Source organism: Homo sapiens, chromosome 5 (assembly GCF_000001405.40).
Source record: "Homo sapiens chromosome 5, GRCh38.p14 Primary Assembly".
NCBI classification, from domain to species: Eukaryota; Metazoa; Chordata; class Mammalia; order Primates; family Hominidae; genus Homo; species Homo sapiens.
This window is the reverse complement of record NC_000005.10, coordinates 37,812,064-37,840,052: the sequence shown is the minus strand read 5'-3', so window position 1 is coordinate 37,840,052 and position 27,989 is coordinate 37,812,064. Positions and strand designations below refer to the sequence as shown.

At 46.5% G+C, this 27,989-nt stretch overlaps 1 protein-coding gene and 1 long non-coding RNA gene across 7 annotated transcripts in view, besides 3 other annotated features; one reads left to right on the top strand and one right to left on the bottom strand.

Annotated features, from left to right (window-relative positions):
- The window catches only part of GDNF-AS1 (GDNF antisense RNA 1), a 35,916-nt gene extending 35,747 nt beyond the window's left edge, over window positions 1–169 (bottom strand). Inside the window, exon 1 of the long non-coding RNA NR_145476.1 lies at window positions 15–169. This is a non-coding gene — a long non-coding RNA (GDNF antisense RNA 1). The remainder of the gene's footprint in view (window positions 1–14) is intronic.
- GDNF (glial cell derived neurotrophic factor) lies at window positions 12–27,376 on the top strand. 6 transcript variants are annotated; one of them, XM_017009337.3, is made up of 3 exons: window positions 12–546; window positions 5,231–5,329; window positions 23,918–27,376. In XM_017009337.3, the coding sequence occupies exons 2-3, from the start codon at window positions 5,257–5,259 to the stop codon at window positions 24,400–24,402; spliced, it is 558 nt and encodes a 185-aa protein (XP_016864826.1). In that variant the 5' UTR covers window positions 12–546; window positions 5,231–5,256; the 3' UTR covers window positions 24,403–27,376. The 6 variants fall into 6 exon arrangements, with proteins under 6 accessions (XP_016864826.1, NP_000505.1, NP_001177398.1 ...); NM_000514.4 differs by having other exon boundaries at window positions 5,231–5,407; NM_001190469.1 differs by lacking the exon at window positions 12–546 and adding an exon at window positions 4,226–4,419.
- Window positions 151–1,088: an enhancer, noted in NCBI's record as "H3K4me1 hESC enhancer chr5:37839067-37840004 (GRCh37/hg19 assembly coordinates)". NCBI's record gives its function as "activates a minimal SCP1, AML or CMV promoter by ChIP-STARR-seq in naive H9 embryonic stem cells {active_cell/tissue: H9 hESC(naive)}" and the evidence as "EXISTENCE:reporter gene assay evidence [ECO:0000049][PMID:30033119]".
- Window positions 2,546–2,615: an enhancer, noted in NCBI's record as "active region_22490". NCBI's record gives its function as "activates an Ori minimal core promoter by ATAC-STARR-seq in GM12878 lymphoblastoid cells {active_cell/tissue: GM12878}" and the evidence as "EXISTENCE:reporter gene assay evidence [ECO:0000049][PMID:35858748]".
- Window positions 2,967–3,905: an enhancer, noted in NCBI's record as "H3K4me1 hESC enhancer chr5:37836250-37837188 (GRCh37/hg19 assembly coordinates)". NCBI's record gives its function as "activates a minimal SCP1, AML or CMV promoter by ChIP-STARR-seq in naive H9 embryonic stem cells {active_cell/tissue: H9 hESC(naive)}" and the evidence as "EXISTENCE:reporter gene assay evidence [ECO:0000049][PMID:30033119]".

Here is a 27,989-nt window from a genome sequence, read left to right as displayed (position 1 = left end):
TCTAGAAGACCAGCCTGCGCTCCTGGCGCCCTCATGTCTTCACGGGACTCCCCGCGCCGGTTGACGTGGTGTCTCGTTCGGATCTCCAGGCAAGACCTCAGCTCCGGCAGCAGCATCAGACAAACCAGTCTCGTGCTCCCAGGCAGTGCGCCCAGAGGAGGCGCAGAGCGCGGCAGCTGCCGCTGAGCCGCCCGCAGCGCCCCGGGCCCGCGCAGCCCCAGCCAAGAGCGCGACGCGCGCAGCCCTGTCAGCCCCCCACCCAAAGCAGCGGCGGCTGCTCGGACCTCGGCTTCTGGGGGTGCGGGGGCCCGGCGGGAGAGTTGCCGGCAGCCCTCGCCCTGTTGGCGGCGGCGGCGGCGGGAGTCTTGGCCGCCGCCTCCAGCGCGCCCTTGCTGCCCCGCGCGACCCCAGGATTGCGAACTCTTGCCCCTGACCTGTTGGGCGGGGCTCCGCGCTCCAGCCATCAGCCCGGATGGGTCTCCTGGCTGGGACTTGGGGCACCTGGAGTTAATGTCCAACCTAGGGTCTGCGGAGACCCGATCCGAGGTAAGTGAGGGAGCGGGCCGGGGAGCAGGGAGCGGGTGGTGCCTGCGTCGCGGGTGGGTGCGGCCGGCTGAAGGGCGCCCTAGTCAGAGGGGTGCGTCTGGACCCCAGAGCAAACGGTGAGAGTAGAAAGTGGAAAGACTAGAGGGAACCTAAGCTATGCGAGGAGAGAGAAAAGTAGAACCGGAGAGAGGCCGGCCTTTCGGAGGGGCATGTTGCCTTTTCCACGTGGGCAAAGATCTGTGGAGCCCCAGATGCGCCTGGACCCGGAATGCCCAAGAGGGGCAGTTTCCTTCCCCGACTCGGCCAGGTGCTCTTCCGTCAAGTCACAGAACGATTCAGGGCTTGGGTCATCTTCGAACCCACCGCCGTCGAAATGTGTCCTCTCTGGACGTGCAGAGATACTATCATTGCCAAGAGTGCAACTTACTATTGAGCTTGTTTTGATCTGTGCCAAGGAAAAGCGCAGGCCGGGGGAGGGGCTGCTGCAAAGGTGCTGAGAACCTAAAAATGGAGGGCTCACCTCCTCCGGGCGAGGTCTGGCAAAGCTACATTCCTCACCCGGTTGCCTGCACGTTCCTAACGCCCTCCACCCCAACTAACCATCCCCGTCGAGGTTAGGAGAGGGGCTTTCTTGCCAGTCCTGGATTCAAATCTCTGTCTCGAACGTATTCTTGAGACTCCACTAGGCCATTGAGGTTATTATTTTAATGACCCCTTTTTCTCCTGTACTCTGTGCCGCCTTCCAAAAACACCCCACCACCACTGCCACTACTTTACACCACCTCGAGGCTAATTCCGCACTGGTGGTTTGTTTCCTGCCCCAACGAAGAAAAACGAACCCTCTTCGGGCTGGAAACGGACTTTCGCGGGTTCCCGCCAGCTTCCTGGGGCCCAGCTAGTTTCGGCTTTGGTAGAATCCGCCGCCAGGACCCATGTGCGCGCCCCCGGGGGGCTTACCCATCCCAGAGCTCGCGACCCTTCTGCTCATAGGCGGGGACAAAGGCAACTCTTCCGGCCCCTGCTGCGGAGATGTTAGAACGCGCTCGACTCTTGCTCAGTGTTTGGAATATATGCTTAGGTATTTCAAGGAAGAGATGTTTCTTCCAACCTCATTCACGCACCCAGTCCCGCAAAGCCGTCAAAGCCGGCCTCGACCAAACTCGTACTGTTTCGCTGCGCCTTCGCTTTGTCAGGGAAGGTGGCGCCTTTTCAACAAGTAACAAGTGTCCGATCTCTGGGAAGTCCGCCGTGTCCCTAGCCCTTTCCCGCTAGCAATTCGGGTGCTCTCGGGCCTGGAACCTGGCCCTTTAAACAGACCGCTTTCCCAGTTTGCCTGCGAGAAGTGTCCCAAATTCTTTTTCCTTCCCTCATCTTGGGCCCCGCAGTTATGGGGGGTTGAGGGGAGAATAAGTCCTCTGTCAGTCAAGGACACGAAGCATAGTTAAGAAAAGCAATAGATCTTCCAGCAATTTCTGTCTCTACCTCCCCCCGCCAAAAAAAAAAAAAAAAAAACCGAGTTTATAGCAAACCCGTCTCCCCGCCCCACCGCCTCCTTTTTCTCTCTCTGAGACCTGGATCTTGAAGGCAAAGCCCAAACAAACCTCCCAGCCTGCCAGGCACAAGAAGGTGCGGGGGCACTGACGGCGGGAGCGCTGCCTCCTGCGAATCTGTCACGGTGACGCGTGGAAGGGGTGAGGGATGGTCTGAAAGCAGGTTGCCAAGAAACCCGCTCAGGTGAAGTGGGGAGAGGAAAACCAGCGAGAATGGAGGGGTGGGAGCCTGAAAAGCAGAGATGCCAGTAAGGACCTCCACAGGTTCCCGGGCTAATGGGATTTCGGGAGGCTCGTAGAGGGAGTGGTGGTTCTCCGGTTTTATAACTAAAATGATAACACAGCCTCCGGGCCGCGTGGGCGCGACACGGCTCAGACGGTTTCTGGTGCCCCCTGCTGCCGGGAACTCAGAAGTGCCTCGCGGCGAGCGGCTGCTTCTGCGAGCACTTCTGTGGCTTTCCTGGGCGTCCTTGCCTCCCCAGGCCTGGGGACCCACAGGTGCCGGCGCCCACGGCCTGCTGCTTTTGCCCTGCCGGGACGTGGTGGTCCCGGACCCAGAAGGGGACCAGCTTGCCAGGCACGAGAAATGGTGCGCGGTCACCTGGCAGAGCAGAGCCCCCGTCACTTGAGGAGCAGAGCTTGGTTCTCGCACGTGGCGGCGCGTAAAGCAGTTTGCACCGCGGGCAAAGGCCCATGGTTGAGGAGAAGCGCGTCGGGCAGATGTAGATGTGTTTTGGGAAAGCGATAGAGAGACAAACTGAGAAGCCGAGGGGTGGAGCCCACACGGACTCTAAGAAAAACGTCCTAGTAGACGCTGTGTGTGCCGAGTCCCCCAACCTCCCCCCTTTTCCCCCGCCCAGCAAATACCGAGAACGAAAGAGCCCCTCGGACTGGAGCCGGTCCCGGCGGCGCTCAGAGGGAAGAATGCGCCCTCCCTGTCCCGGGGGAAGAGGGGAGCTCGATCCGGGCGCTGGCGGCGCTCGGCCGAGGGCGGGAACCGCAGCCGGGAGCCTCCTCTGGCGACGCGGGGAGTTTTCCACTGTGTAGTCTTTTGCCAGCTTCGCCACACTTCTAATTGAGGATCTCCACGTCCAATTTAAAAAGCCCTCCGTCGGCCAAGCAGGAAAAAAGGGAAAACCCTCTTAAGACGGAAGGGAAATCTAGTGCCTCTGTGGCTTCCTGCTGGCGGGCACCGCGATTTGGAATGGCGCATTAACCCCGCGCCTCCATGCTCCTCCGGTCGGACCGCCAGCCATTTCGCACGCACCCGGGAGCTGGCACCGGCGGGGGGCTTGAGGGGGGAAGCTCGCGTTCCCCAGGTCCTAGCTGCCAAAGTACCTTTCTGGGCTCATTTTGCATGGCCTGGTGCAGTTTTCCTGTGTCTGCACATCGCGACCCAGAACCTAGCTTTTTCCCGAGTTTGCAAACCAGCCCGCGAGGCAAGAGGCGCTCGGTGCTGCAGGTCACTAGGAGTTTCTAGTCCCTACACCCTCTCGAGCCCAACAGCTGCATAGCGAACAAACAGACGCTCAGGAGATGTAAAATGCATTAGTCTCTGCAGAGGTGGGAGGTGGCGGCCGAATTAAAGGCTTCCCCGGGTTGCCTGCACCGGGACAGGGAGTGGGGTTCCGGGTAGAGATGAGGACTGGAACCCTGGAATGGAGGCGGGGGTGCCTGTGAACTAATGGCTAGGAAAGGCACTGAGGTTTTTGCATTAACCTGGGTTTTGCATTTCCCTCCCGCATGGGAAAAAAAAAATCGAGTTTTTCCTAAGAACCGTTTTATGGAGCCGGTCGAGGGGATAGGATAATCGACTGCACGAATCTCGCAGATTCCGCTTGAGGAGATTCTCTCTAGGTCACTAGTGCCCTGGAGACGAACCCTGGGATTAGGAAGGCACTGGATAACACTGCACCCCAAGATGCCTCGGTTCTTCCCCGTCTCCTCATTGGTTGGAACTCGCCCCCAAATTTACAGCCCCTTTTTCTAACCCACCCCCAGCTGCGTGGCCCTCCTTTGTAGGGGTGTGAGGATTGAGAAGCCAAACAGAGCCCACCTCGGGCTGAAAAGAGCTGAACCCCCTACTCTGCGCCGTACCACGGTCTAGGCCTTCCAGTGCCAGAGCACCTCCAAAGCGTCCGAGACTGGGTACAGTCGTCCAGGCGTGACGGGGGCGCGGGGAGCCAGTGACTCCTCTGGGAGGGGAAGGGATTAGGGCCAGAATCTCTCAAAGGTGCAAAAATCCAGTCAAGAGAGGGTTTTCGGGTATACCACGGAGGATTAAAACTTTCAAGACAAATGCAGTCTTTGCCTAACAGCAATGGTAAAGCATTTACTGAGCTCTTACTACATGTTCCGCTAGAGCTTGTCATGCGTGATTTAATGTTCATAACTTTAAGAGGTGGGAGGAGTATTTTAAATCGAATCAGTGCTTTGGGAAGTTAAGTAACTTAAACCAGATATCCCATACAGGCCAAAAGTCTCCAAGTCCCTGCTAACTTCTTGCTCTCGCAACAGAATACCTATTTAGGTGGGAAGAATGAGGTGTGGGCGGCAGGCTGGGTGAGTGGTGCCCCCGAGCCTGCCCTCGACTAGCCAGAAGCCCGGTTGGGACCCGAGGCAGGGGAATGCGCTTGATTTTATTTCCAAAGAGAAACACCGTCCTTGCTTGGGCCGAGGGCTCGTTCAGGGGCCTATAGGAGCTACCGGGACAAGAAGGGGAGGTCTCTGGTTGGGGTGGAGGACGAAGGGTGGGAACTACCCGATTGCCCCCCAGGAATGGGGGATGTTGCGCACCAGTAGAGGGGACTGGACAGGAATCGTGGTGGTGGGGGTGGGGGGTTAACTGGAGGGGACAGCAGCCCTGCTTGAAACTCTGACCCCTAAGACCGTGTGGTGGAGAAGGGCAGCTGCAACCTGAACCAGGAGTGCGAGCTGCTCCTGGGGCGCGCTGAGGAGGGAGAAGCGAACTGGGGACTTGCAAGGAGGGCAGGAGTGCCCGAGGAGCCGCTGGCCTGCAGCGGTGCCGGAGGAGGGCGGTGACGAGGTTGGAGAGGGGCGCAGGGACCCGCAGGGAGCCCAGGCTTAACGTGCATTCTGCGGTTCTCTCCCCCACCTCCCGCCTGCCCGCGCAGGTGCCGCCGCCGGACGGGACTTTAAGATGAAGTTATGGGATGTCGTGGCTGTCTGCCTGGTGCTGCTCCACACCGCGTCCGCCTTCCCGCTGCCCGCCGGTAAGAGGCCTCCCGAGGCGCCCGCCGAAGACCGCTCCCTCGGCCGCCGCCGCGCGCCCTTCGCGCTGAGCAGTGACTGTAAGAACCGTTCCCTCCCCGCGGGGGGGCCGCCGGCGGACCCCCTCGCACCCCCACCCGCAGCCAGCCCCGCACGTACCCCAAGCCAGCCTGATGGCTGTGTGGCCTACCGACCCGTGGGCAAGGGGTGCGGGTGCTGAAGCCCCCAGGGGTGCCTGGCTGCCCACTGCTGCCCGCACGCCTGGCCTGAAAGTGACACGCGCTGGTTTGCCCAGCACAGAGGGGATGGAATTTTTATGCTGCTCCTTTAGCATTCTGATGAACAAATATCCTCCCCACCAGCACCACCACCTCAGAAACACACACACAGCTGTCCCCTTTTCTGTTTCCTCACCTATACACACTCCCAGTTTTTCTTTGCTTCCAAAGCCCTTTATCTGTGTGTCTGTGCCTGGCTGTGCTTAATTCTGAGAACTATTGCACTTTCATCCTAAACTGCGCCTGCAAGGCGAGAGGCCGGCTTTTCACAAAAGCAAGCCAGAGGCAGAGAAAACACAGAAGGGCCTCCATTTCCAGAACAAGCGTCTGGGTAATGTCAAATCTGTTCAGAAAAGTTCCTCTGTTCAGAAAAGTTCCGGTTCTAGAAAGACTTAACCATAAATAGTGCTGGCTGGGACTAGGGACAAAGACTGTAGCTCACTCCACGTGAGACAATGCTAACTCTTGAGAAAAAAACCCAGGTTATTCTTATTAGAAAATAAGTCTGTGATTTACCTCTCAAAAATTAACATGTTTTAGAAGCAAGTCAATTAGGGCATATCAGCTGTGATGTGATCTCGTTTTCCCTCCACTCCTCAGAAGCTTGTTGCATGAAGTGAGAGAGGCTACATTACATGTGATAGAGGCTGTTGCAGAGGCATAATGTCAACAAAGATAGCAATAGAAAATTTCACACAACCCCAAAATAAAGCAGGAATGAGCTGTGTGTAACTAGGATACCACCCTGGCTACTCTTCCCTCCCTAACGCCACCCCCAGAATTATCCCTCTAGTAACTTTGCGCTTGAAACTTACTATGGTCATAACCACAGTAGTAGTCCTGCAGTAGTCAGCTGTGCGCTGAGTCCCCCAAACCCAATGGCCTTGGCTAGGAAACAACCCAGTAAATGCAATGTGCTTATTTTATGCTTAATTATAGCAACAAAAGCACCTTCTTCCACAAGTCCCAAGAAAGATAGAAAGTGGATTTTTTTATAAGGCAAATTAAGACTTCAAAAGGAAGTTAGGGAACATGGTTAATCCTTTGAAACTAAAGTACCTGTTCCAAGAGTGTCTGTCAATTAACTGTATAAACCTACTTTAAAGGCTTTTATTTCCATCACAAATTTAATGTATATAAACGTTTCTCCAACAGAAACTTTAAAATGCCCCTTAGTGCCGGGTCTTCCAAAACTGGCTATTCATTCACTCAAACGGTCTAGACAAGAGGGACAGGAACACAGTGGCAGATAATAGTTCTCTAACCCAGACGTTGCCAAGAGAAAAATGACTGTGCCTGATTACAAAGCTGATTAATTCATGGAGGTTTAATTGCTGTATTAGTGCCCTGTTCAACTAGATTCATTTAATTCTGGCTCAGGCTCCTGGCTCTGCTTTCAACTAACTCTGTGACTTTCAGGCAAGTTACTTTAGAGCTCAATGAACTGTACCATAAAGAGAAGCCTTTCTACTCCACAATCCCAGTGGCTATGAGATTTGCCCCTTGGCCTTTATGTTTGTCCTAAAGTCCTTTGGGAAGAATCTCCTAAGAAGAGATTGGAGTCACCTGGGGAACTTTAAAGACTACTGATGCTAGGTCTCACCCCAGGAGATTCTGATTTAGTTGGTTTGGGGTGTGGCCCAGGCATCTGAGTTTTTAGGTGTTCCCCAGATGAGTCTAATGTGCAACCAGACTTGAATCACCATGGCTTGATAACACCCAAGAAAATCTTTGGCTCATATAAGGTACAAGTAGTCACAAAGCAAGCGAGTTAACACAGATTGCAGGGACAAGGGCATGTTGTAGGGAAGAGGGATTGCTTCCCTTTTCCAAAATTGATGCTGTGTCATCAGTGAACAAGATTCTCACTACTCTATTTACATTTGAACAGCAAAACACACCCCATTGTGTTTTGTCTGTGGGAAGACCCAATAGATCCCAGAGGAAACCTGAAAAAGAAACGTTCCCAAAGAGAAACTGAGCTGCATTCTAAGCCAAATTGACTTCTTTCCAGATATGTTTGATTCGGTAGCAAGCTGTCAAGTGCAGGGAAGGCAAAATAATGACAGTATGCAGACTTTGAACACTCAACCAGTGTCAACACGCCTCTGTCACAGTGCTGACATTTATATCCTGCACTGTACATGGTGCAACTGGTTAAGGCTTATGTAGAAAAACATTAAGTCACCACATTTCATTTAAAAATAGAAAGTATCATAAATTCTGATTCCTCTAGTTCCATCCAAATACTTGTAACTTAATGATTGAGCAAAAGAGCTTTCATGCCACATTAACGTCATTCTGCGCTTTTCACAGGAGGACCAGAATATACACAGTTTGCACACTCACCTTTAAGATTGCATGTGTTCCGCTGGTTCCAATGTAAATAAAACATCCAGAATTCTATTACTAGTATGCCCTCAGTGTGAGATAACCAAATGGAATTCATAATTGGCCAACGGGCTTGCCTAGAGGCTGGCTGTAAAGTAAATGGCTCAGGACTGCCTCCTGTAGCAACTTCTAGCCTGTCTAAACTCAAGGACTTGTGATTTGACTTTTGGGGTACCCAAGACTTTTCTCTTTTGCTATCTTTATTTGTTTATTTTGCTTTTTGCCAGTATTTTGCCAGTATTTTGCTTTTTGCCAGTTTCCAAAGGGCAATTAGAGCAGGCATGAGGAATCTGCAAGTTGAAACTTGCAAATGTCATAGCATTTTCGAGCTGAAAGGAAACCCCTCTAGTCCTGAAACCTAAAGAGGCAAAGCAACTTGTCTATAATGCACCACAGTTCCATGATCACAGGAGGCAGGTCTGAAGCTGGGACCAGAGTTTCCCCCAAACTACTGAAATGTACTTTATATGGGAAGGGGAGGATACTTTATATGGGAGGAAGGTCTTGAACTAATGATTTAGACCATGGTGCACAAGGTTGTCTGAATTTATTGAAGGTTAGTTCATCATAGTCATATTCCTTATCTCAACTCTAAATGTATTTAATAAGTAAAAGCATAAAATGCATGTGGTTTTAAAAATTTGCATCTAAATGCACATATACATTCACCAAATAGTTACATGTATGCCTGTCTGTGCCAGGCACTGTCCTAAGTGCTAGGGATACCTTGATACACCTAATAAACAAAAGTCGCTGCCCTCATGGAACATAGCTTCTAGTAAATGCACATGTGTGGTGGTATGAAAAAATCAACGTGAAAGAACCTCAGTCCAGTAAGGTGGGCTGAATTTTTTGTGCAACTGGAAACCAACTAAAATGACATTGAGCATCGTTAAGTTGTAATTACAAGTAATTCCTAATTTAGTATAATATAATGGGATTATATTCTACCAGTTTGGTAGCAGTTCACAAAATTTCCTATGGAAACAATTTTTTAAATTAAGCTATCAAGTTTTCAGGCTAGCCCACAAAAACCTATGTAAACCACGATATAACTGAACTGTCATTCACAATATTACTAAGTGAGAGTCTCTGCCCTGGGGGGCACATCCCATAATCTGCAAAAGGAGGGCACAGAACAAGAAATCAGGGAGGTTTCAGCAAGCAAGAGCTCAAGGTAACACATTCAGACCAGACTAGGATTTGGACCCCAGCCTTGCCACTTAACTGAGATGTTGAGCTGTTACTTAACATCCCTTAAGCTTTGTTTTTTCTTCCCTGTAAAATAGGCATAAGAGTAAATCTGTCTCATGGGTTGATGTGAGGGTTAACTTAGATATTGCTTTGTAAAGCCTCTGCTCCATAAATAGGGATCATAGTTGTCATTTGCCACCCTCCTGCTTGCAATGGCCCCTCCCTGGGCACCCAGTGAATTCACTTCTTCCGCTACGACATCTGCCAGGATGCTGCTCTAAATAGTGGGATTTCAGCAGCACAACAGAGTACAGCGAGTGAGAGAAATGCAGGCCTTGTGGGCAGGCTATTTTGGGCCCCACTGTTGGTTGGTCAGCACGTAGGCAGTCCAGGCTTGCCTGGGATTCTGCCCCTGGGTCAGCTGCCCCTGGCTCTTCCCAGGTTTCACAGCTCCGACCCTTCCCCAGTTTCCAAGCCCATATATTTCCAGTGGAATTTTTTTCTCACCAAACTCCTATGGTTATGTTAGGGAGACCTCTTCCGTCATGGGAAGGAGGGAACCAAGGCAGGGTAGGATCTTTCTATGGAAGTGACAAGAGGGTTGTGAGTTGGAGGCTACCTGTATGGAGATGGAGCGTATCTTTGTAAATGATCCATCCCAGCTGGACATTTAATTTAAGAAGTTTCATAACCCTAGCAAAAAATACTTAGTAAACTGTGAGACCACCTCTATAGAGCTAAGGAAGCTTCTAGTGCAACAAGCTGGGTAAATGTTAAGCTTTCAAATCTAATGTTATGAAATACAGAATTTAGAATGAACAAACACCATCTATCTGTTGTGTCTTATCGCTTAGGGACTGTATGAATGAACAATACTTTAACAAAGTAACTACCTAAGCTGGAAAGGAGCTCTGCCACTTGGGATGGGTCTCTTGGAATCAAGAAACTGCACATCAGACTCTTGTAGGAGGCACTGATTCTTTACTTGAGATCTGAGACCAATATTCTCATTCTGGCCCCAGTCTGGAAAACCATTTCAAACTGTTACTGCTTAGAGAAATCTATTTAAGGCTTAAATTGATTTGGCCAGTCAGGACCTTAGGCTGACCCAGGGCGTGAGCAATGTACTCAACAGGTTCTTCTTCAACAGATATAAAAATTAAAGCTCCCTGATATTTTCCCCTCCTAATATCTCTTTGATCTTTGTTTATTTAACACTCATGGACCATAGCACCTTCATTTGATTAAAATACTTGTTTTTTAGTTAATTACTTAAGCTTAATCAGGAAACAAATATTAAATATCTTTCATGTACTGGGTGCCATGCGGCCTCAAAAAGGCTAAATTTGTAAATAAAGTTGCTTGTGATCTAGCTGTAAACTATTGCTAGGTGGATGGGCGGATGGCTGGATGGATGAATAGAATGTCAGTCAGATAGATATGTCTATTGTGTAGGGTTTAGGTGAGCTGTACGCATGTGTGGTAAAAATTCCTAGCAGTGAGCTCACTGGGATTTGGGTATCATAGCAGGGACGACTTCAGGGAAGAGGGAGGATTTGACCTGGTACTTGAAAGATGGGTGTTTGGAAGGGAAGGGAAAAGGAAAGGGGGACATACTAGGGAGTAGCATGGGAAAATTTGTGACCATGATGTGGGGAAGGGACAGTGGAACAAAGAGGAGGACAGACCAGTCTCCAAGTTCTAGAAAGAGGTGCTAAGAAGTGGTGGGAAATTGAAGATGTCTTGACAGGTGATACCAGATTGTGTGATACTATAAAATTCAGGAAAGGTGTTTGCTCTGTTTTTGATAGCAGTGGGGCACCCATGGAGCAGGCAGGTGACTACAAGGCGGGATCTTGCTTCAAAGCTGTCTTGCAGGAGAAGTTACCTAAATACCCAGACTGCTTTTGAGTGGGGCCTATGCCGTAAGCATGTCTTTTATTTTGAGGTGTTGTGCTTTTATTTTTAAAAATCTTCTAGACATAGGCACAATTGAACCAAACTATTAGCCCCAAGTAAGTGAATATCTGCAAATAAACACTTAATATTAAAGTTAATGACCTAGCACCTTTTAACTATCCACATGATGAACACAGTTCTTGTCCTGAAATCAAGTAAGTCTGAGCTCTACAATAGAAGAGGAGATATTATTATCCCCATTTTACAGGTGAAGAAAGGAGACCTAGAGAGTTGTTCCGGGTCACAAACCTAGTAAGTGGTGAAGCCAGAATTTAAACCTCAGCATGTTGGTCCGAAAGCCAATATTTCTTGACTTTACACAGACTGTGTGTGCATATTAGTGAATTAAGAAAATATAGACTTTGGCTTGCTTAAAAATGCACTCACTAACCCTGAAACACAGATTTCCAGGAAAATTAAGCAAGCAAAGAGAAAAGAGAAGCAGAGACTATCAAATTTCCTTTTGGCCCTTTTAAAATCTCCATTTGGGCTGCGGTAGGCTTAAGCCAGTATTACTAATGACTACTTCAAAGTCCAGATCAGGATGTTTTTAAGAAGAGAAACATGAATTTCTCTAAGTATTCCTATAATATTGATGCTTTTTGCAATGAGAGAAGGCTCCCTAACTCTTTGCAACAAAGCAAGGTCTCCTCAAGTGCTTGGTAGGCAGACAGCATTCGGGAGGCCTTGTGGGAGACTCTGGTTCTCAGATCTCTCCCATTCTGCCCAGCGAGGGGATGGCATCCACATAGGAACCTAGTGTGACTGCACGAGTGCCAGAGCGATGGCCTCAGTGGGAATAGGAGTATGCGTAAGCAGACTTGGGTCACCACTGGGAAACAACTGGTTAGCTCAGTAGAGGCAAAACCCACTTTTGCATAACTTTAATAACAAAATTGAAGTAGAGAAGCATGGTTTTAAAACAATATGGCCTTCCAATTTTTTTGCCTGCAAACCTGCAAATAAGAATGTTGAAAAACGATTACCTACTTTGAAGCTTTCTAAAATTTTTCATCATAGGTTTAAATAGTTACACCAGATGTCATTTCTAGCCCTTTCAGGAACTGTATATATGCTTTAAATATTCTTTTGGCAAAACTTTGCACCTGCCTATGTAGTTTATTTAGTTCATGGAAAATGATCAAACTAATCAGCCCAAATCAATTGGCTTTTTGGTCAGAAAAGGTCTGACTTCATTTTCAATTCAAATGTACATGTTAATATACACCCCATGACAACTGTCACAATTCTGGATCCTAATTGTAAGGTAGAGAGATGGATAGGTGAACAGTCAGATAAGCAAAGAAAGCACTGAGGCTTCCCAAGGGGCCTGGCCAGGAGGAAATATGGAGCAACTGGCTTCAGGATTTCTTGGTTTATTCACAAAGTTATCTCCCTTTGCAAGTGTTTGTAGCACAGTGAACACCCATACATCCTTCACTAAGATTAACCTCTTTTTTAGCATTTTGCCTCGTTTTTTTCTGAACCATTTGAGAATTTGTTGCAAACATCAGAATGTTAAATATTTCAGTATGTACCTTCTAAGAACAAGGACAATGTCTTATATAGCCACAATTCAGTTATCAGTCTCAGGAAATTTAACATGGATATAATACTGTTATCCAATAGATAGTCTGTGTTCATATGTCCCCAGTTGTAGCAATTATGTCCTTTATGTTTTGTTTTTTTTTTTTTAAAACCCAGGACCATAAATTGCATTTGACTGTCTGGTATCTTTATACTTCCTTAATCTAAAATGATTCCCAAGTCTTTTTTTCCCGCATGACATTGACATTTGTGAAAACTCTGGGCTCTTTTGCTAGCTGTTTCCCAGACTACCCTTCAGTTTAGATCTGTCTGATTATTTCCACATGATTAGATGTAGGGAAACATCCTTGGAATATCATATTCATGGCACTATGTCCTCACATCAGGAAGCGCCCAATATCAGTTTGTTCCAAGGAGCCATTCATGCATGAATGCCTTTGTATGGCGCCTGAAGGTGTTTATCCCTGGGACAGGCCCCACAATAGAATGGCTAGATAGGTGAGAAGCACACCGTCTCTCAGTAAGGATAAAGAGGGATTGGAAAAGGGGACATGGGCAAGGAGAACCACAGCAGGAGCATCCGCAGGCAGACCAGACATTTTAGGACATGGCACATGTGGAAATTGAGGAAATGGACATGGATTCCCTTTCAACCACCCATAGGCACTGCAGAAAGTCTTCCTGTGCCCCCAGAGGGCCAGGTGCCTCAGTCTGAAGACACTGCTCTAAGCCATAGTGGACACAAAGATAACCCTCATGGGCTCTGGGGTCTGCTGACATTTGCATGTTTAGTTGTCAGGCATTTTGAGGAACACGGAAGAGCTCACACAGCCTCCCAAGACGGGCCTGTGGCTTCTGCCCACAACCCACCATGCCAGGGGCTCCAGGCCCTGCACAGAGGTCTCTCCTCTGTAGAACATGCTAGACTAAGTAGGGACCAGTGTCTGGATCCCCTTTTGGGCAATCTTGCTTTGTCTAGAGACTGTAGAGTTGGCTTTACACTGCTGCCTTCTGTGCAAATATTGCTGAAGGAGGATCCCAGATGTGATAACCATATTGGCCTACATTAGGCACCATTTGTGAAATACTTTCTGTGGACCAGGAACTGAGCTGAAATCTTTTCTTATGTTATCATATTAATTTTGACCTGAAGGTAAAGGTGTGACTAGCCCCATTTGAAAGATGGGGAAATTGAGGCTTACAGGGTTAGCAGCTTAGCCAGGGTCTGGACACAGGGCAGCCTGAGTCCAGCACTCACACTTGTCACTACTGCACAAGATCACTTCCTGCCAGCCCATGACACTCAGATGTCACTCTTCTGACTGCATCAAAAAGTCATCAAGGAAAAAAAATCAGGGAATGGGTTTGGCAGGTAAAGTTGTTTTAGAATGATAACCGTATCTCATTACCTGAAGAGTCTTTGAGATTCCCGTAAATTCACTCACTGGGGGTAGAAATTCCCTCCTCATATCTGACCACAAGAATCTACCAAACAAATTCAAATGATAAAGAAGATTTCTTTCATCTTCTCTTAGTCCCTCCTTCTTGTTCAAATCACTGAGACCCTTACATGCCTTTTACCTACTGCTCAGTGGGTCCCCTGGGAAGAGCTGAGGGATGCTGAGTGCAGAATCCTGCAGGGTCCTGCAGCCTCTCAGGCTGGGGGCAGGGCTTCGCTGAAAGAAGAAAGGAGAGACTCCACCACCCCCACAACCACCTGCCTCTGATAACACCACAGGGATGATTTGCCCTAGTGGCTTTTTGTGCACTTAATTTTACTGGGTAACTTTCTCACCCTTCCCTGTTAAGTTTTTTATAAGGGCAGTAGCAGACCTCCTGGTGTGTGCTCATTAGCTTGTGGTGTTTATTACCGACTCTGGAGTGCTTTTAGCTCACACCAGGTGTTCATGGATTAGCTAACAAATGAACACCCTGTTGGGTGTTTTCCTGACTTAAAAGCTGAAGAATGGACACTTTCCACCCAGGGGGACTGTGCTGTATTACTGTAAAATTATTAGCATAACTGTAATAAAAGCATGGACCACATACATAGAAATCAGAGCAAGGTGATCAGAACCTGAGTAACAAAGGAATTTACTGTCTGTCTCTCCCTGAGTGGGGTTTTCTGGCTGTTTGTATTGATGGAGTAATTTTCAGTCCATTTATTACAAATTTGCTTAGTTGAGTTGTAGGATAACAGTTTAGGATATAGTACAACTAGTATGTGCAATGTCATTCAGAGTGGGTGGAGATGGTAAATAAGATGGCATTTTGATGGGCAAAGTGGCTTTTCTAAGTACACCCATAGCTTCTTTTTCTATATTCTAAAGTGATTTGCATTCTGGTTGGTCTTTTTCTTCTGCCTTGAGAGAATCCAGAAATGCTTTTTTAAAACAACAAAACAGTGGTGTTTTTACAACGCAAATACTTTTCAAATAAATCGATGTCATGCCTTACTGTCAACAAACCACTGGTCCTGAAGAGAATGCACTGGTAGCTCTGGAAATGGTCACAATGACTTAGTAAATTGCCTCAGCTGGTAATTGTTTTTAGGAAAATAGATGCTGTGGACACTTCTGAAAGTTAACCCAACAGCAGCCTATGATCAGGACGGTCTACCAAACACTAGATGAATTCTGTGTCCAAAATAGGAAAGCACGGAAGGTCATTACATAATGTAAGATGCATCAGCATTCAGTGCTTACTGATCTATGGGCCTTTTTTAAAAAGTAGTTCAAATAAGTGTCAAAGTCATCACTTTGAAATAGGAGCAGATAACAAAACTTTACAGAAGTTTTTCAGAGAACTAGAACATTCTCATAAACTCACATTTAGAGTCCATTCTCATGGACTGCACATTTTAGAGGTTCCTGAAGGTCAAATAAGAACAAGAGTTGACAGCCCAGAGATTGGCTTCAAGGACAAGCTGCTTGGCTCTCCTGATCCATTTTGTACCACTTGCAGTGGGCAATTCTAGCCTTGGAGTCATAAGCTGGGTATGACCTAAGCATACTTGAAGCAGCAAAAACAGAAATGAATAAAATTGAGATTCGAAGAAAATGGTAAATTGAGTGTTTGACTTTTGGGTGATGGAGACTGAAGGAATTGTAGCGTGAGGCTGTAGTGTGTCCTCTCAGGGGTCATGGGGCCCATCTCTATTTTTACAGATGGAAACTGAAGTTTAAGAATGCCTTACAGTAGAATCTGGATGCTTTCATATGCAGATACAGGGCCCTTTCTACACATCTTTTACCTCTCTTAAATAGGGCACAGGAAGATGACTTGATGATTTAAGAGAAGATTGATGACGGTCATTTCAAATGTAGCCGAGACATTCAGCCAAGAGGTAAACTGAAGAGGTCAAGCACTGCAGAGTTCTAAAATACCTCCTGTGGGGTTTTATGGGGCCCCTGATGGTACTGGCTGAGCTGAATGCTGCTGGGGCGTCAGCCAGAGGTGGTCTACTCCCTTGCAGAGGTGACTGAAAAACCCGTGTCTGGCCACACTTTCCAGCCAAGACTTAGACTCTCCACACTTTAGCATTTTGGAGCTGGAAAAGGCCCCAGAGAGCACTGAGTTGACCTCAGAAGGGTTAAGTGACTACTTCCAAGGTCACGCAGCTGATCAGGGACTGACCCAAGACTGGAATCCGGGCCTCTCTTGTCTCCAACTCTGCAGCAAGAGCCTGGTCATTTGGTGCCAGCATGAGTTGGAGGAGCTTCCGGAGATGGGGCCTCTCTGTCTGGATCTGCTGCTGTGCTGGCTGCGGCTTTTCCGGTTTTAACTGGGAAATCGCCAGAGCTGTCTTAGCGTGATATGCAAGAACCAGGACACAGGAGAAATGCCCCTGAGTAGCATGGCTTTTCCTTTTTGGGAGACAATTTACTGTATTCTGTGGCCCATGGCAGCCTAACTTTAGGATCTACTTAGCGTACCTGAGTTCGTACTGAATTTTTCAACAGAAAGTATGTTTCTCACCTCCTGTGCTGACTTTGGTAAATGTGTACAGGTGAAACCAGCATGTCTTGCTCTCGTCTCAGAGTAAATTCCCATCTGCTGCAAGACTTGAAGAGCTCAGTGGTAGTAGAGTTTTTACTTTAAAACAAAAAGACAACAAGTTTGAGCTTTGAAACTGAACCACCAGGTCCACATTTATTAGTCCTATGGACTTCACCAAATATTTGTCTTCTCTGAGCCTCAGCTTCCTGAGCTGTAAAATGGAGATAGTATTCAATTTAGCCTTGAAGGGAGGTTGTCAGGTTTAAAGTTAATGTTGTGTGAAAGTAGGCAGTATTCCACCTTTACACTGGTAATGTTTTTTAAGTGCTTCAAGGAAGCTCTTATCTAAGTTATAGCCTGATGAAATTTTGTAATGCAAGAAGTTTTACAGGTTAAACTCAGCCATGTAGTTCTTGTAATGATATTCCAATATTAGTGAAAGAAAATCATGTTTGTAACATATAGAAAGATAAAAATAACTTATTCCAAAACAATGACATTCATTGGGACTCTTCTTGAGAAGTTGTATCAATTTTAAGTTGATCTTTTCTTTTCATATAAGTATGTATATGTGTGTCTCTGTGTGTAGACGCATATGTATGCACGCATGTGTATGTGTATGTGTTTATAGATCGAGAGAGATCTCTATATTTTTCAGATACTTGGCCTGTAGAGCAATTTGCATTTTACCTGCAATATAGGTAGGCAAAGAATACCAGATTAAATGTCTCCCACCATTAGGGGGTTTTCCATTTTCCTCCTGTCTGAAGACAGCCTTTCATAGGAACCGCTACATGTCAGGATGGATGGCACCGCACCTCGGCAGCCGCAGGTGCAGCATCCTGTGGCCTCATCCTCAGCATCCTGCCCCATCCCAAAACTGAGCCCCACCATCTGGCCACTGGTTCCTGATGTATCTCTCACTTGTGTGGCCTTGGCTCAGGCAGCAGCTCACCCCTATGGGTCCCATTAGCCCTCACCCTTCCAGGCACAGAAGCTGGACACTATAGTGAAGTAGCAAGGCTGTTCTCCCCACAGCAAGAAACCCCTGAGCCTTCTCTCTGGGGCCCCTGCATCAGCCAAGCCCGGCTCATGCAGATCTCAAGCCTGGCCTGGAAGACATCTCCTGAACAGGACCACTGTGTGTACTGAGGTCAGGCCCCCTCTCTCCTGGGTCCCTCTGAGCCTCAAAGACCTTCCTTCCACCTTCTGGATAAGGAGTTGTGTCCTCACCACTTTGTCCCTCATAGACAACTTTGTGCCATCTCCCTCTCAGGCCCACAGGTTGGGGACTTAGGATGACTTAGAATGAAAGTCAGCTTAGACTCCCTGCCTGGCCAGGCTGAGGAGGGGACAACCAGCTACAAGTAGAAAAATGACCCTTTGATTAAAATATAGTTAACCTGTACTGTTTTAAGACAAATCTGGCATTTTACGAAAAGACTTTGTCCACTCTTGCCAGCTTAACCAATGTAATGTTTTGGATTATGTAATTTTGAGTTCAGCTATTACAGGGAGGACTTGGAGCCCTCACCATTGTTCCTATTAAAACTCAGTTGACTTTACAAAATAGTCACTATCTCAGTCCTTTGTTCCTGGGATGACATTACTATTTTTTTTCCCCATAATCGAGGGCAGCAAAGTCTTTGCGGTGAACTGTTTGTTCCCAGAGTTGTGCCCCGGTACAAGGTTTCATTTCTTTAAGTAACACTATTTATACAAAGAACACATCAAAGTTAAAATATTTTAAATAGAATAACACCAAAACATTTGGTTGCACTCTGAAGGATAGCTTAAATGCATTTGAGCACTTTGGATTTCCAAAAACTTTATATTTTAGATGGACATGTTTTCCAAGATATATCCTCCAAGCAGGTCTGGGAAATGAGCAAAGATATGACCTATTATTTTTTTAATGATGCTCCTCTTTTGTGGTTTGCAAGTATTTCACTATTAAAGTTAATAAATGAGGGTCATTTGCATATCTGACATTCTGCCAAGCCTTTTAAAGGATGAAGACAGAGATGCGCCAGTAAGTCTTAATTTAGGGAACGAATCCAAACCCAGACCCCTCTTCTTTTCCCTCAGCTCAGTGAATTCCTGGAAAATGGAGGCAGCTGTGGGCATTTCAGCTCATCACCAGGAGTTTCTTGTCTGGGCTGGGTGAGAGGCCTCTGCAGAAGAATTAAGGACAGGCTCAGTGAGGCTGCCCAGCATCCTCTGCAGAGGAGTATGGCGCCTAATGCCCCCAGGTGCCTCGCATCGATAAATTGAGGCTGGCTCTAAGAATGAACTCATTTAGTCGGAACATGCAGGCCTATTTGCCCTGTGGTTTGAAAAATACAATGTTGCCCTTTCCTGGCTTCCAGAATTCATATCCATGTAAATTTTTCAGCAAAAATTTTGTTGTTTCTTCTATTTTTCATGACTATGAAGGAAAAAAAAGCCTTCAGCTTAATAAGAGTTGCCTATGGCCTGAACTTGGGGTTTAAATAATATTTCCACATTAGCAACAAAATGTGAAGGAGATTTCCCATCAAAGGAAGGAATTTTCAAAAGCCACATGCCAGGAAGACTTTAAAAAATAATAATAATAATAGACTTTATTTTTTAGAGCAGTTTTAGGTTCACAGCAAAATTGAAAGGAAGGCAGAGAGTTCCCATATACTCCCTACCCCTACACATGCATAGCCTCCTCCATTGTCAACATCCCCCACCAGAATGCTACATTTATTATAGTTGATGAACCTACATTGACACATCATTATCACTCAAAGTCCACAGTTGACATTGGGGTTCACTCTTGGTGCTATACATCCCATGGGTTTGGACAAATTTGCTATGACGTGTATTCACTATTTACCTGAAATTCAAATACAACCAGGCTTTCTGTATTTTACCTGGCAAACAAAGCCTGTGACAAAGCCATGTGGTCAAAATGTCTTAAAAAGGGGAGAAAAATGTTTTTCAAGTTCTTCCAAGTATCAAGGGCTAAAAAAGAACACTATAAGTGCTGATTCAAATCCTTATGATTGTAACTCTAGTAATAAAAAGTTATATATCATATAGATTAATGAGTCTCTAAACCAGCATGATTTAAACTTCTGTGACTCTAATGTTTTCCTATTAGCTTATATTAAAATTTTAGTAATGTTTTACCCTCATTTCTGATTAATCTTCAGTTGATTGTTAATTGAACTTAACTTTCTATATGCCCAGGTTCCTAAATTAATGACTTATTTAGAATTCTTGAATAGAGCCTATGATGTGAGTCCTTTTGTAAAACAGAGTCTCTGTTTTTTAATTTGAAGACTCTTCTGTATTTTGATTAATCACTCCTAATAGATCTGTTTCATAAGTTCCGATTTATATACAAGCATGTTTTTTTTTGAAACTGGGCACATCTGTATTTATTTCCTCTTTAATAGCTTATTATTGAAAGAAATCACCAATAGCTAAAGCAGCTCATTTTTTTTTAAGTCAATTGTTTCTGTCAACCAAAGTGATTTAATGTTGTTGTTTTGTTTTGTTTTGAAAGAAAACTTCCTAAAGAAAGTTCAGTGAGAAAGCAGTACAAAGGAAAGGACAAATTAAGAGCACTCTTGGCCAGGCACAGTGGCTCACTCCTGTAATCCCAGCATTTTGGGAGGCTGAGGCGGACGGATCACCTGAGATCAGGAGTTCAAGACCAGCCTGGCCAACATGGTGAAATCCCATCTCTACTAAAAATACAAAAATTAGCCGGGTGTGATGGCGGGCACCTGTAATTGCAGCTACTTGGGAGGCTGAGGCAGGAGAATCACTTGAACCCGGGAATTGGAGGTTGCAGTGAGCCGAGACCATGCCATTGCACTCCAGCCTGGGCGACAAGAGTGAAACTCCGTCTCAAAAACAAAAAAAAAAAAAAAAAAAGAAAAGAGCACTTCCCTGGGCCCCCTTAAGAAAGCATTACTCAGGGACCAGAGAGCTTTAGGAGACCCAGGGGAGGTGGGCACTGAGAGTTAATGCTGCTGCAAAGCTGCAGAAAGCTGAGGAGGAAAGGTGGTTTGGAGACAGTCCTTCAGCTCTCTGGTGGGCAATGACTGTGCCACTCAGGGCAGAGTGGCTTTTCTGAGTAATGTGGGCTGTTTACTTTGGAGCATTTCATTTCATAACGATGCAGTTTTCAGCTAAAGTCCCAGAGTCCCCTTGAAAAATTAAGAACTCTCTTTCCGCCTAGTAAAATGACCCGACTCATTCAGCCAGCAGTTACCGTAGGCCTCCACAGCCTACTCAAGCACTTGGAGATCCATCAGTGAACAAGCAGGACAGAGTTCCTGCCTCTTGGAGTTGACATTCTTTTAGAGAAGACAGACTATAAATAACAACCCTAAGAAATCAGTTAGATGGTGTGTTAGAATGTAGCAAGAATTATGGTGGAGGGGGAGGCGCAGGGCAGGGGTATCTGGATTAGGGGCTGGGGAGGAATCTTGTTTTAAATAGGGAGGTCAGGTGGGACTTGTGGATAGTGACATTTGAGCAAAGACTTGAAGGAGATGTGGGACTAGCCACAGGGTGGGAGACATTTAATCTGGTATTCTTTGCCTACCTATATTGCAGGTAAAATGCAAATTGCTCTATAGGCCAAGGGTCCAGGCAGAGAGGGGACAGCCAGCACAAAGGCCCTGAGTTCTTGACTGTTTAAGCTATAGTTCTCAAGGGATGGTGTTGCCCCTAGGGGACATTTGCAATATCCAGAGATACCTTGATCTGTCATGACTAGGATGGGGGATGCTATGGGCCTTGTATTAGTCTGTTTTCTTACTGCTATGAAGAAATACCTGAGACTGGGTAATTTATAAAGGAAAGAGGTTTCATGGACTCACAGTTCCACATGGCTGGAGAGGCCTCACAATCATGGCAGAAGGCAAAGGAGGAGCAAAGTCACATCTTACATGGCGGCAGGCAAGAGGGCATAGGCAGGCAGGGGAACTGCACTTTATAAAACAATCAGGTCTCATGAGACTTATTCATTATTACCAGAATAGCACAGGAAAAACCTGCCCCTGCGATTCAATTACCTCTCACTGGGCCCCCTCCCACAACATGTGGGGATTATGGCAGCTAAAATTCAAGATGATATTTGGGTGGGGACACAGCCATACCATATCAGGCCTCTCCTGGATGGAAGCCAGGGATGCTGCCAAACATCCTACAGTGCACAGGACAGCCTCCCACAATGAAGAATGACCCAGCCGAAAAGGTCAGTGGTGCTGACACTGAGCCCCGTGTTTGAGGAATGGTAAGGAAGCCAGGGTAGCTAGACGGGAGGGAACAAGAAGAGAAACAAGAGAGGAGGTCAGAGGTAATAAAGGCTGGAGGAGAGGGGCAGCCAGGTCAGGTAGGGCCTTTAGGGCCAGTGTGGATTTGGGCTTTTTCTCTAAGAGTAACAGAGAGCTATTGGAAGGTTTTGAGCAGAGGAGGTTATGTTCTGCGTTTAAAGTATCCCTCTGGGTGCTGGGTAGAAAATAGATCGAAGGTGGGTAAGGGTAGAATGAGGAAGCCCAGTTCAGGGGCCACTGTGGTTATCCAGGCAAGAGGTGACAGGGCTTCAGCCAGTGTGGAAACAGCTTTGTGATTTCCGTGCAGCTGATCCTGCCAATGCTAAATTTCAGATAGCAACTAGGCATTCTACGGATTCCAATCACCAGTCTTTTCATTATTATATATCATATGTTTTATATATTACACACACACACACACACACACACACTCTACACACACGTGGTTAAGTTGCTTTTGCTAGATTTTGTTCTATAGGAGGGATACCTGATATATTTTAACAATTAAATAGGTTAGGTTTATGACAAAACAATTTGACATGGGTTAGACATAATGTAATCTTTCTATGCTTTAATACAATCTTGGCAAAAAACATTTACTCTTGCTGACAACTCTTCTTTGGTTTATTTCTCTAAGCCACTTAGAATCCTAAACATACTAAATGACCTGAAAAATGAGGTGAGGGGGGCATAAGAGGCCTACTACCCAAGAAACAGGTGTTTGGATTGTTTTTCCCCCCGTTTAGAAATTTATTACATTGTTCCATTAGTTATTTTTCTCTGCTGACTTGATTGGCCAAAGCAAACACTGAAATCCGGCAGAAAGCACTAAGAGACTGCTGATTTATACTTTCACCAAAGGTCTCAGACATCTTAGTGTCCCTGCATCCTTCCTCCATGTGATCTCCCTAATGAGCCTCTTGTCCTGCTTGCAGCCAGACAGTGGGAGCCATGTGACAGCTTGCAGCTGAGGCTGGACCTCACCCTTGGGGGCAGGGCTGCTTCTATGCACGAACAGCATCTCATTTCATTTATTGCTGTGATACATAAATGCCATTTTACTCTATCACTGGACTTTTTTGTTAAAGTCATGCTGTTCAAAGGAAGCGGTAAATTAGTCTTTTTGTTAGTAAAATATAAACTGTTTTCCTGTTCCTTTATGATTTTTAAGGAAATTTTAAACTATAGTTGCATTCCTGAGCTCTTCATTTGTTCTGTCAGAATGGTTCTTGTCCCACTCAGCCACACAGAATCAAAGCAAGTTTCAGGGAAGAGCACTCAGTATTCCAGATGAAGGTAGCCATAGTGGAAGGCCTCAGTTTTTTCACCCTCTAAGACGGTGTCTCTCAAAGTTTAGTGCGTGGATCTTTGGTGTGTGGATCTTTTACATTAGAATTCCTTGAGGCTTGTTAGAAATGCAGATTCCTTGGTCCCTCCCCAGACCAAATGACTCATTGTCTCCAAGGGTAGGGCCAAGAATCTGCATGGTAGTCAATATCCAGGGTATTTTCCTGCATATTCACATTTGAGAACCACTACTCTAGGTTGTGTGACTAGGCAAGAAAAATGCCCCTAGAAGATTGGCCAGCTCACAGCAAGCTCTGCATGGACTTGTTAAAAATGGTGAATGTTATTCAAATGAAAACTATGCTTCTAAGGATTTGTTTTCTTCGAGAAAGTATGTCACCACCACATTAGTCTCCTCTTCCAACTAAATCATCTTTCTTCTGTGCATTTTTGCCTCTGTTTTTGGGGATTACAGTGGTCCTATAGCTTAATCGGCTGATAGTTTTGCTGTGGGTCCAATTTTTGCTGACTTTAGGGGGGCACTTTGATCTTGAAGACGGCTTGAAATGATCATTTTGTCTCATGTGCCATTTTCTCTTTTCTTTTTGAACAGCAAATATGCCAGAGGATTATCCTGATCAGTTCGATGATGTCATGGATTTTATTCAAGCCACCATTAAAAGACTGAAAAGGTCACCAGATAAACAAATGGCAGTGCTTCCTAGAAGAGAGCGGAATCGGCAGGCTGCAGCTGCCAACCCAGAGAATTCCAGAGGAAAAGGTCGGAGAGGCCAGAGGGGCAAAAACCGGGGTTGTGTCTTAACTGCAATACATTTAAATGTCACTGACTTGGGTCTGGGCTATGAAACCAAGGAGGAACTGATTTTTAGGTACTGCAGCGGCTCTTGCGATGCAGCTGAGACAACGTACGACAAAATATTGAAAAACTTATCCAGAAATAGAAGGCTGGTGAGTGACAAAGTAGGGCAGGCATGTTGCAGACCCATCGCCTTTGATGATGACCTGTCGTTTTTAGATGATAACCTGGTTTACCATATTCTAAGAAAGCATTCCGCTAAAAGGTGTGGATGTATCTGACTCCGGCTCCAGAGACTGCTGTGTATTGCATTCCTGCTACAGTGCAAAGAAAGGGACCAAGGTTCCCAGGAAATGTTTGCCCAGAATGGAAGATGAGGACCAAGGAGGCGGAGGAGGAGGAAGAAGAAGAGGAGGAGGAGGAGGAGGAGGAGGAGGAGGAGGAAGGCAGCCATCATGGGAGCCTGGTAGAGGGAGATCCAGCTACAGACAACTGGACAGGAGAGAGAGAAAACAGCCCTCTGGATTCTCCAGGATGGCAGCCGATGTCACTAGAAGCTCAGGGCTGATGTTCCTGGTTGGCTATTGCCACCATTTCAGCTGATACAGTCCACCATCACTGATTACCGGCGCGGTTGCGGTGGATGCACTTGAACCAAACCAGTGTATCTCCTGTGATTTGTTTTCATGTGTCCGAAGACACCAGGGAAACAGAGATCCTGGTGTTGTTCCTTGTTATTACGTTTTACTGCTGAAAGTAAGAGGTTTATTTTTCTGTCACTCAGTGGAGACATACCCTGGAAAGGAGAGGGGAAAAAAAAAGCAAAGATACAAGAGATAATCACCTTTGCATTTGAAAGTTGAGGCCCGAGGTTTACTACAACCAGCATTTTTGCCAACGGTTGGTGATTGATTTCCATCACGGTGTGTGGGGTGGGAAGAAGTTGGCTAGGAACCAAAAAGGCTGTGCTCATGATTAAACACAAACCTGAAGGTATTTCCTTTATGTCCTTGGAAACAGGAAACGAGTTGTGGTTTTCGCCAGCATTCTTGTAGGAGAGAATCGGGGAAGGCCCCGAACTGCCCCCGGGCAGGGAGAGCCCCTCAGGCCTGTTGGTTTACAGAGAGACAGATGTTACATAACCAGCTCCGTTGATGCGTGGTCACCAGTGACCAGAGAAGCTACTCGATGCAATGCATCTGTTTCAGATACAGAAATATAGAGAAGATATTTATTGAAATTTAAGTTATTGTTATTTATTACCGTTCACTAATGAATTTCTCTTTTTTCCCTTATTTATTAAAGTTTCTTTTCAAAGGTGCCAAAGTATATGTGCTCGCAAAATGCAAAGAAAGGTGACAAAAGGAAATTTGAATTGGGAACAAGGGTCCATGCTTTTCAAAGTATTAAAAAGTTTTTTGCCAGGCAAAAATCACTTACTTTACCTTTTTAAGAAAATTTGTCATTAATTTTCCCCAGATTTCAGCATTTTTCCCAATTTTTATTTGTGGAGCATCTCAGGCAAGCCCCCTTTCCTGGAGCAGCGTGCAGAGACCACTGGCACTTGACTTTATTTCTTCCTTGCTCCATTGCTGAACAGAAATGTCGTGGGCTCCACTTCCTGTTGTCTTTAAGCTCTTAGTCCCCTCCACGTATACCTATCTGTACTATGCATAACCATATGTAGAAAAGGTTCAGTTCCTTTTAGTAGGTAGTCCTGGATTTAATGCTGACCTAAAAGTAATGTCGACAATGCTGTCAGGTAGCTGCCGTTCTACCGACTCCCTCCATCCCTGCCCACCCACTGCCCTCCCGAGAATATGCTGGCTGCCCAGTGCAGCCCGGGAGACACAGGGGCCTTCCAGAGGTAGGGTCTACCAGGTCCTGTACAACCCCTGGGCTGTCACCGGGGGTCAACAGCTGCTGCTCCTATATACCCAAACACCTGACAGCTCCCTGGGGAGCAGATGGCTGAGAAGGGTGCTGAGGAAGCCATATTGGGACCAGCCACAGCCACACACATGGAGCCTCATACTTAGGAGCGTGCTGCCTTTAAATGAAGGTGGTCGGGGCCAGTGCAGCGGCTCACACCCATAATCCCAACACTTTGGAAAGCCAAGGTGGGAGGATCTCTTGAACCCAGGAGTTTGAGACCAGCTTGGGCAACATAGGGAGACCCTGTCTCTACAGAAACTTTAAAAATTAGGCAGGCATGATGGTGCACACCTGTGGTCCCAGCTACTCAAGAGGCTGAAGGAGGATCACTTGAGTCCAGAAGGTCGAGGCTGCAGTGAGCTGTGATCATGCCACTGCACTCCAGCCTAAGTGACAGTGCGGTACCCTGTCTCAAAAAAAAAAAAAAAAAAAAAAAGAGGTTGGAGCAGGAGGAAGCATAGGGGCGGGAACAGCCACCTCCTCCATGCCCTAGATTGTGAATTTATCGGGCAGCCAACACATGTATGACACACTAGGCCCTGTATTACAGCTTGTTACGCATTTCATAAAAGGGATTTTCATTAAGGAGATAATCTATTACTACCTACCTTAGTGGCTACTAGTATAAAACTATGACAGATTTAGCAATTAAATGAAATACTGGCCTCCATCAAATAATCATAGTAACAAGAAGCAGCAGTTACCAGACATCTGATCCCCTTCCCCCAAAATACCCAAATTCTTCATGGTTCTGCCCTTCTCTGTCCTTTCTGCTCCCCTTGCTCGCCTGGGAAATGGAGGAAAGGCCTTCCCTCTCACACTGTCTTGGGATCTTGCTGAGAATTCAGACTGCTCGAAACAGTGACAAACCCCAGCCATCCAGTCATTCGTGGAGCACAATTTGGATGTGGCCCCAGGGGCATCTGTCCCATTCAGAGAACCTTGGCAGTGCGATGGCCACTGTTCCCAGGCTTCAACCTCAGTGACCCCCCCCAACAACTCCCCATGGAGAGTCCCTGCCCAAAAAAGCTGTAGGATCCAAGGGGTGTCAATAGCTCGTTCCCGGCATCACCTACACACCACAAGCAGGTTTTAATGGAAGCAAGTTGCTCCACCAAATCCACAAAAGGGTAAAGTTTGTGATTTTTCTTTATCATTGCGATCACCATCTGATACCGTAAGGAGTGCACTTGTTTGGAAGTTCTGACTTCTCTGATCTGTCTTGGTCGTTTGTGTTATAAAACCAAAGTTCTCTACAGACTTTATTTTTGTACAATATCATTTTGTAACTTTTTACAAATAAAAACTCATTTCTATTGCTCTCTGTACTTCTGTACTTCCTTGCATGCACTGGGCCAGGCAGCCATCCACAAGTATTTCTTAGGAATCACCCCCTTCTTACCACACAGCCCACTGGATGGTCAGTGGCCTTGCCTATCAACTCCCAGCAACCAATCACCCACTCAGGAGGGACAAAACTTGCAAAATTGTTCTTATTCATTCAACAAACCCTTATGGTGTGCCTACACTGTGCCAGGCACTGTTCCTGGCACCAGGGCTCTAATGGTGACCAAAGCAAAAACCGCTGTCCTCCTGGAGTTATTTTATTTGCGGGGAGACAGACAACATTCAAAAAAGTAAAATATGTAGTGATCCCTGTGTTGAGAAACGCTAAAAGAATACAAACAGGATCCTATAATATAGACACTAACAGGGGAGCTTGCTTTAATTAGAAATGACTTTAAGACCGAAGTTAAGAAACAGTGCCAACAGATCAGGAGCGTCCCAGGCAGAAGAAGCAGCTTGTATGAAACTGAGTCACGTCACAGACTGCCTTGTGACTATCAAAAGGCGGCCTTGCATGGTGCTCTATGGCTCTTCTGCATGGCCCCAGCCTAGGCTGCCCCATGGATGGCATTTGTGCTGCACTAGC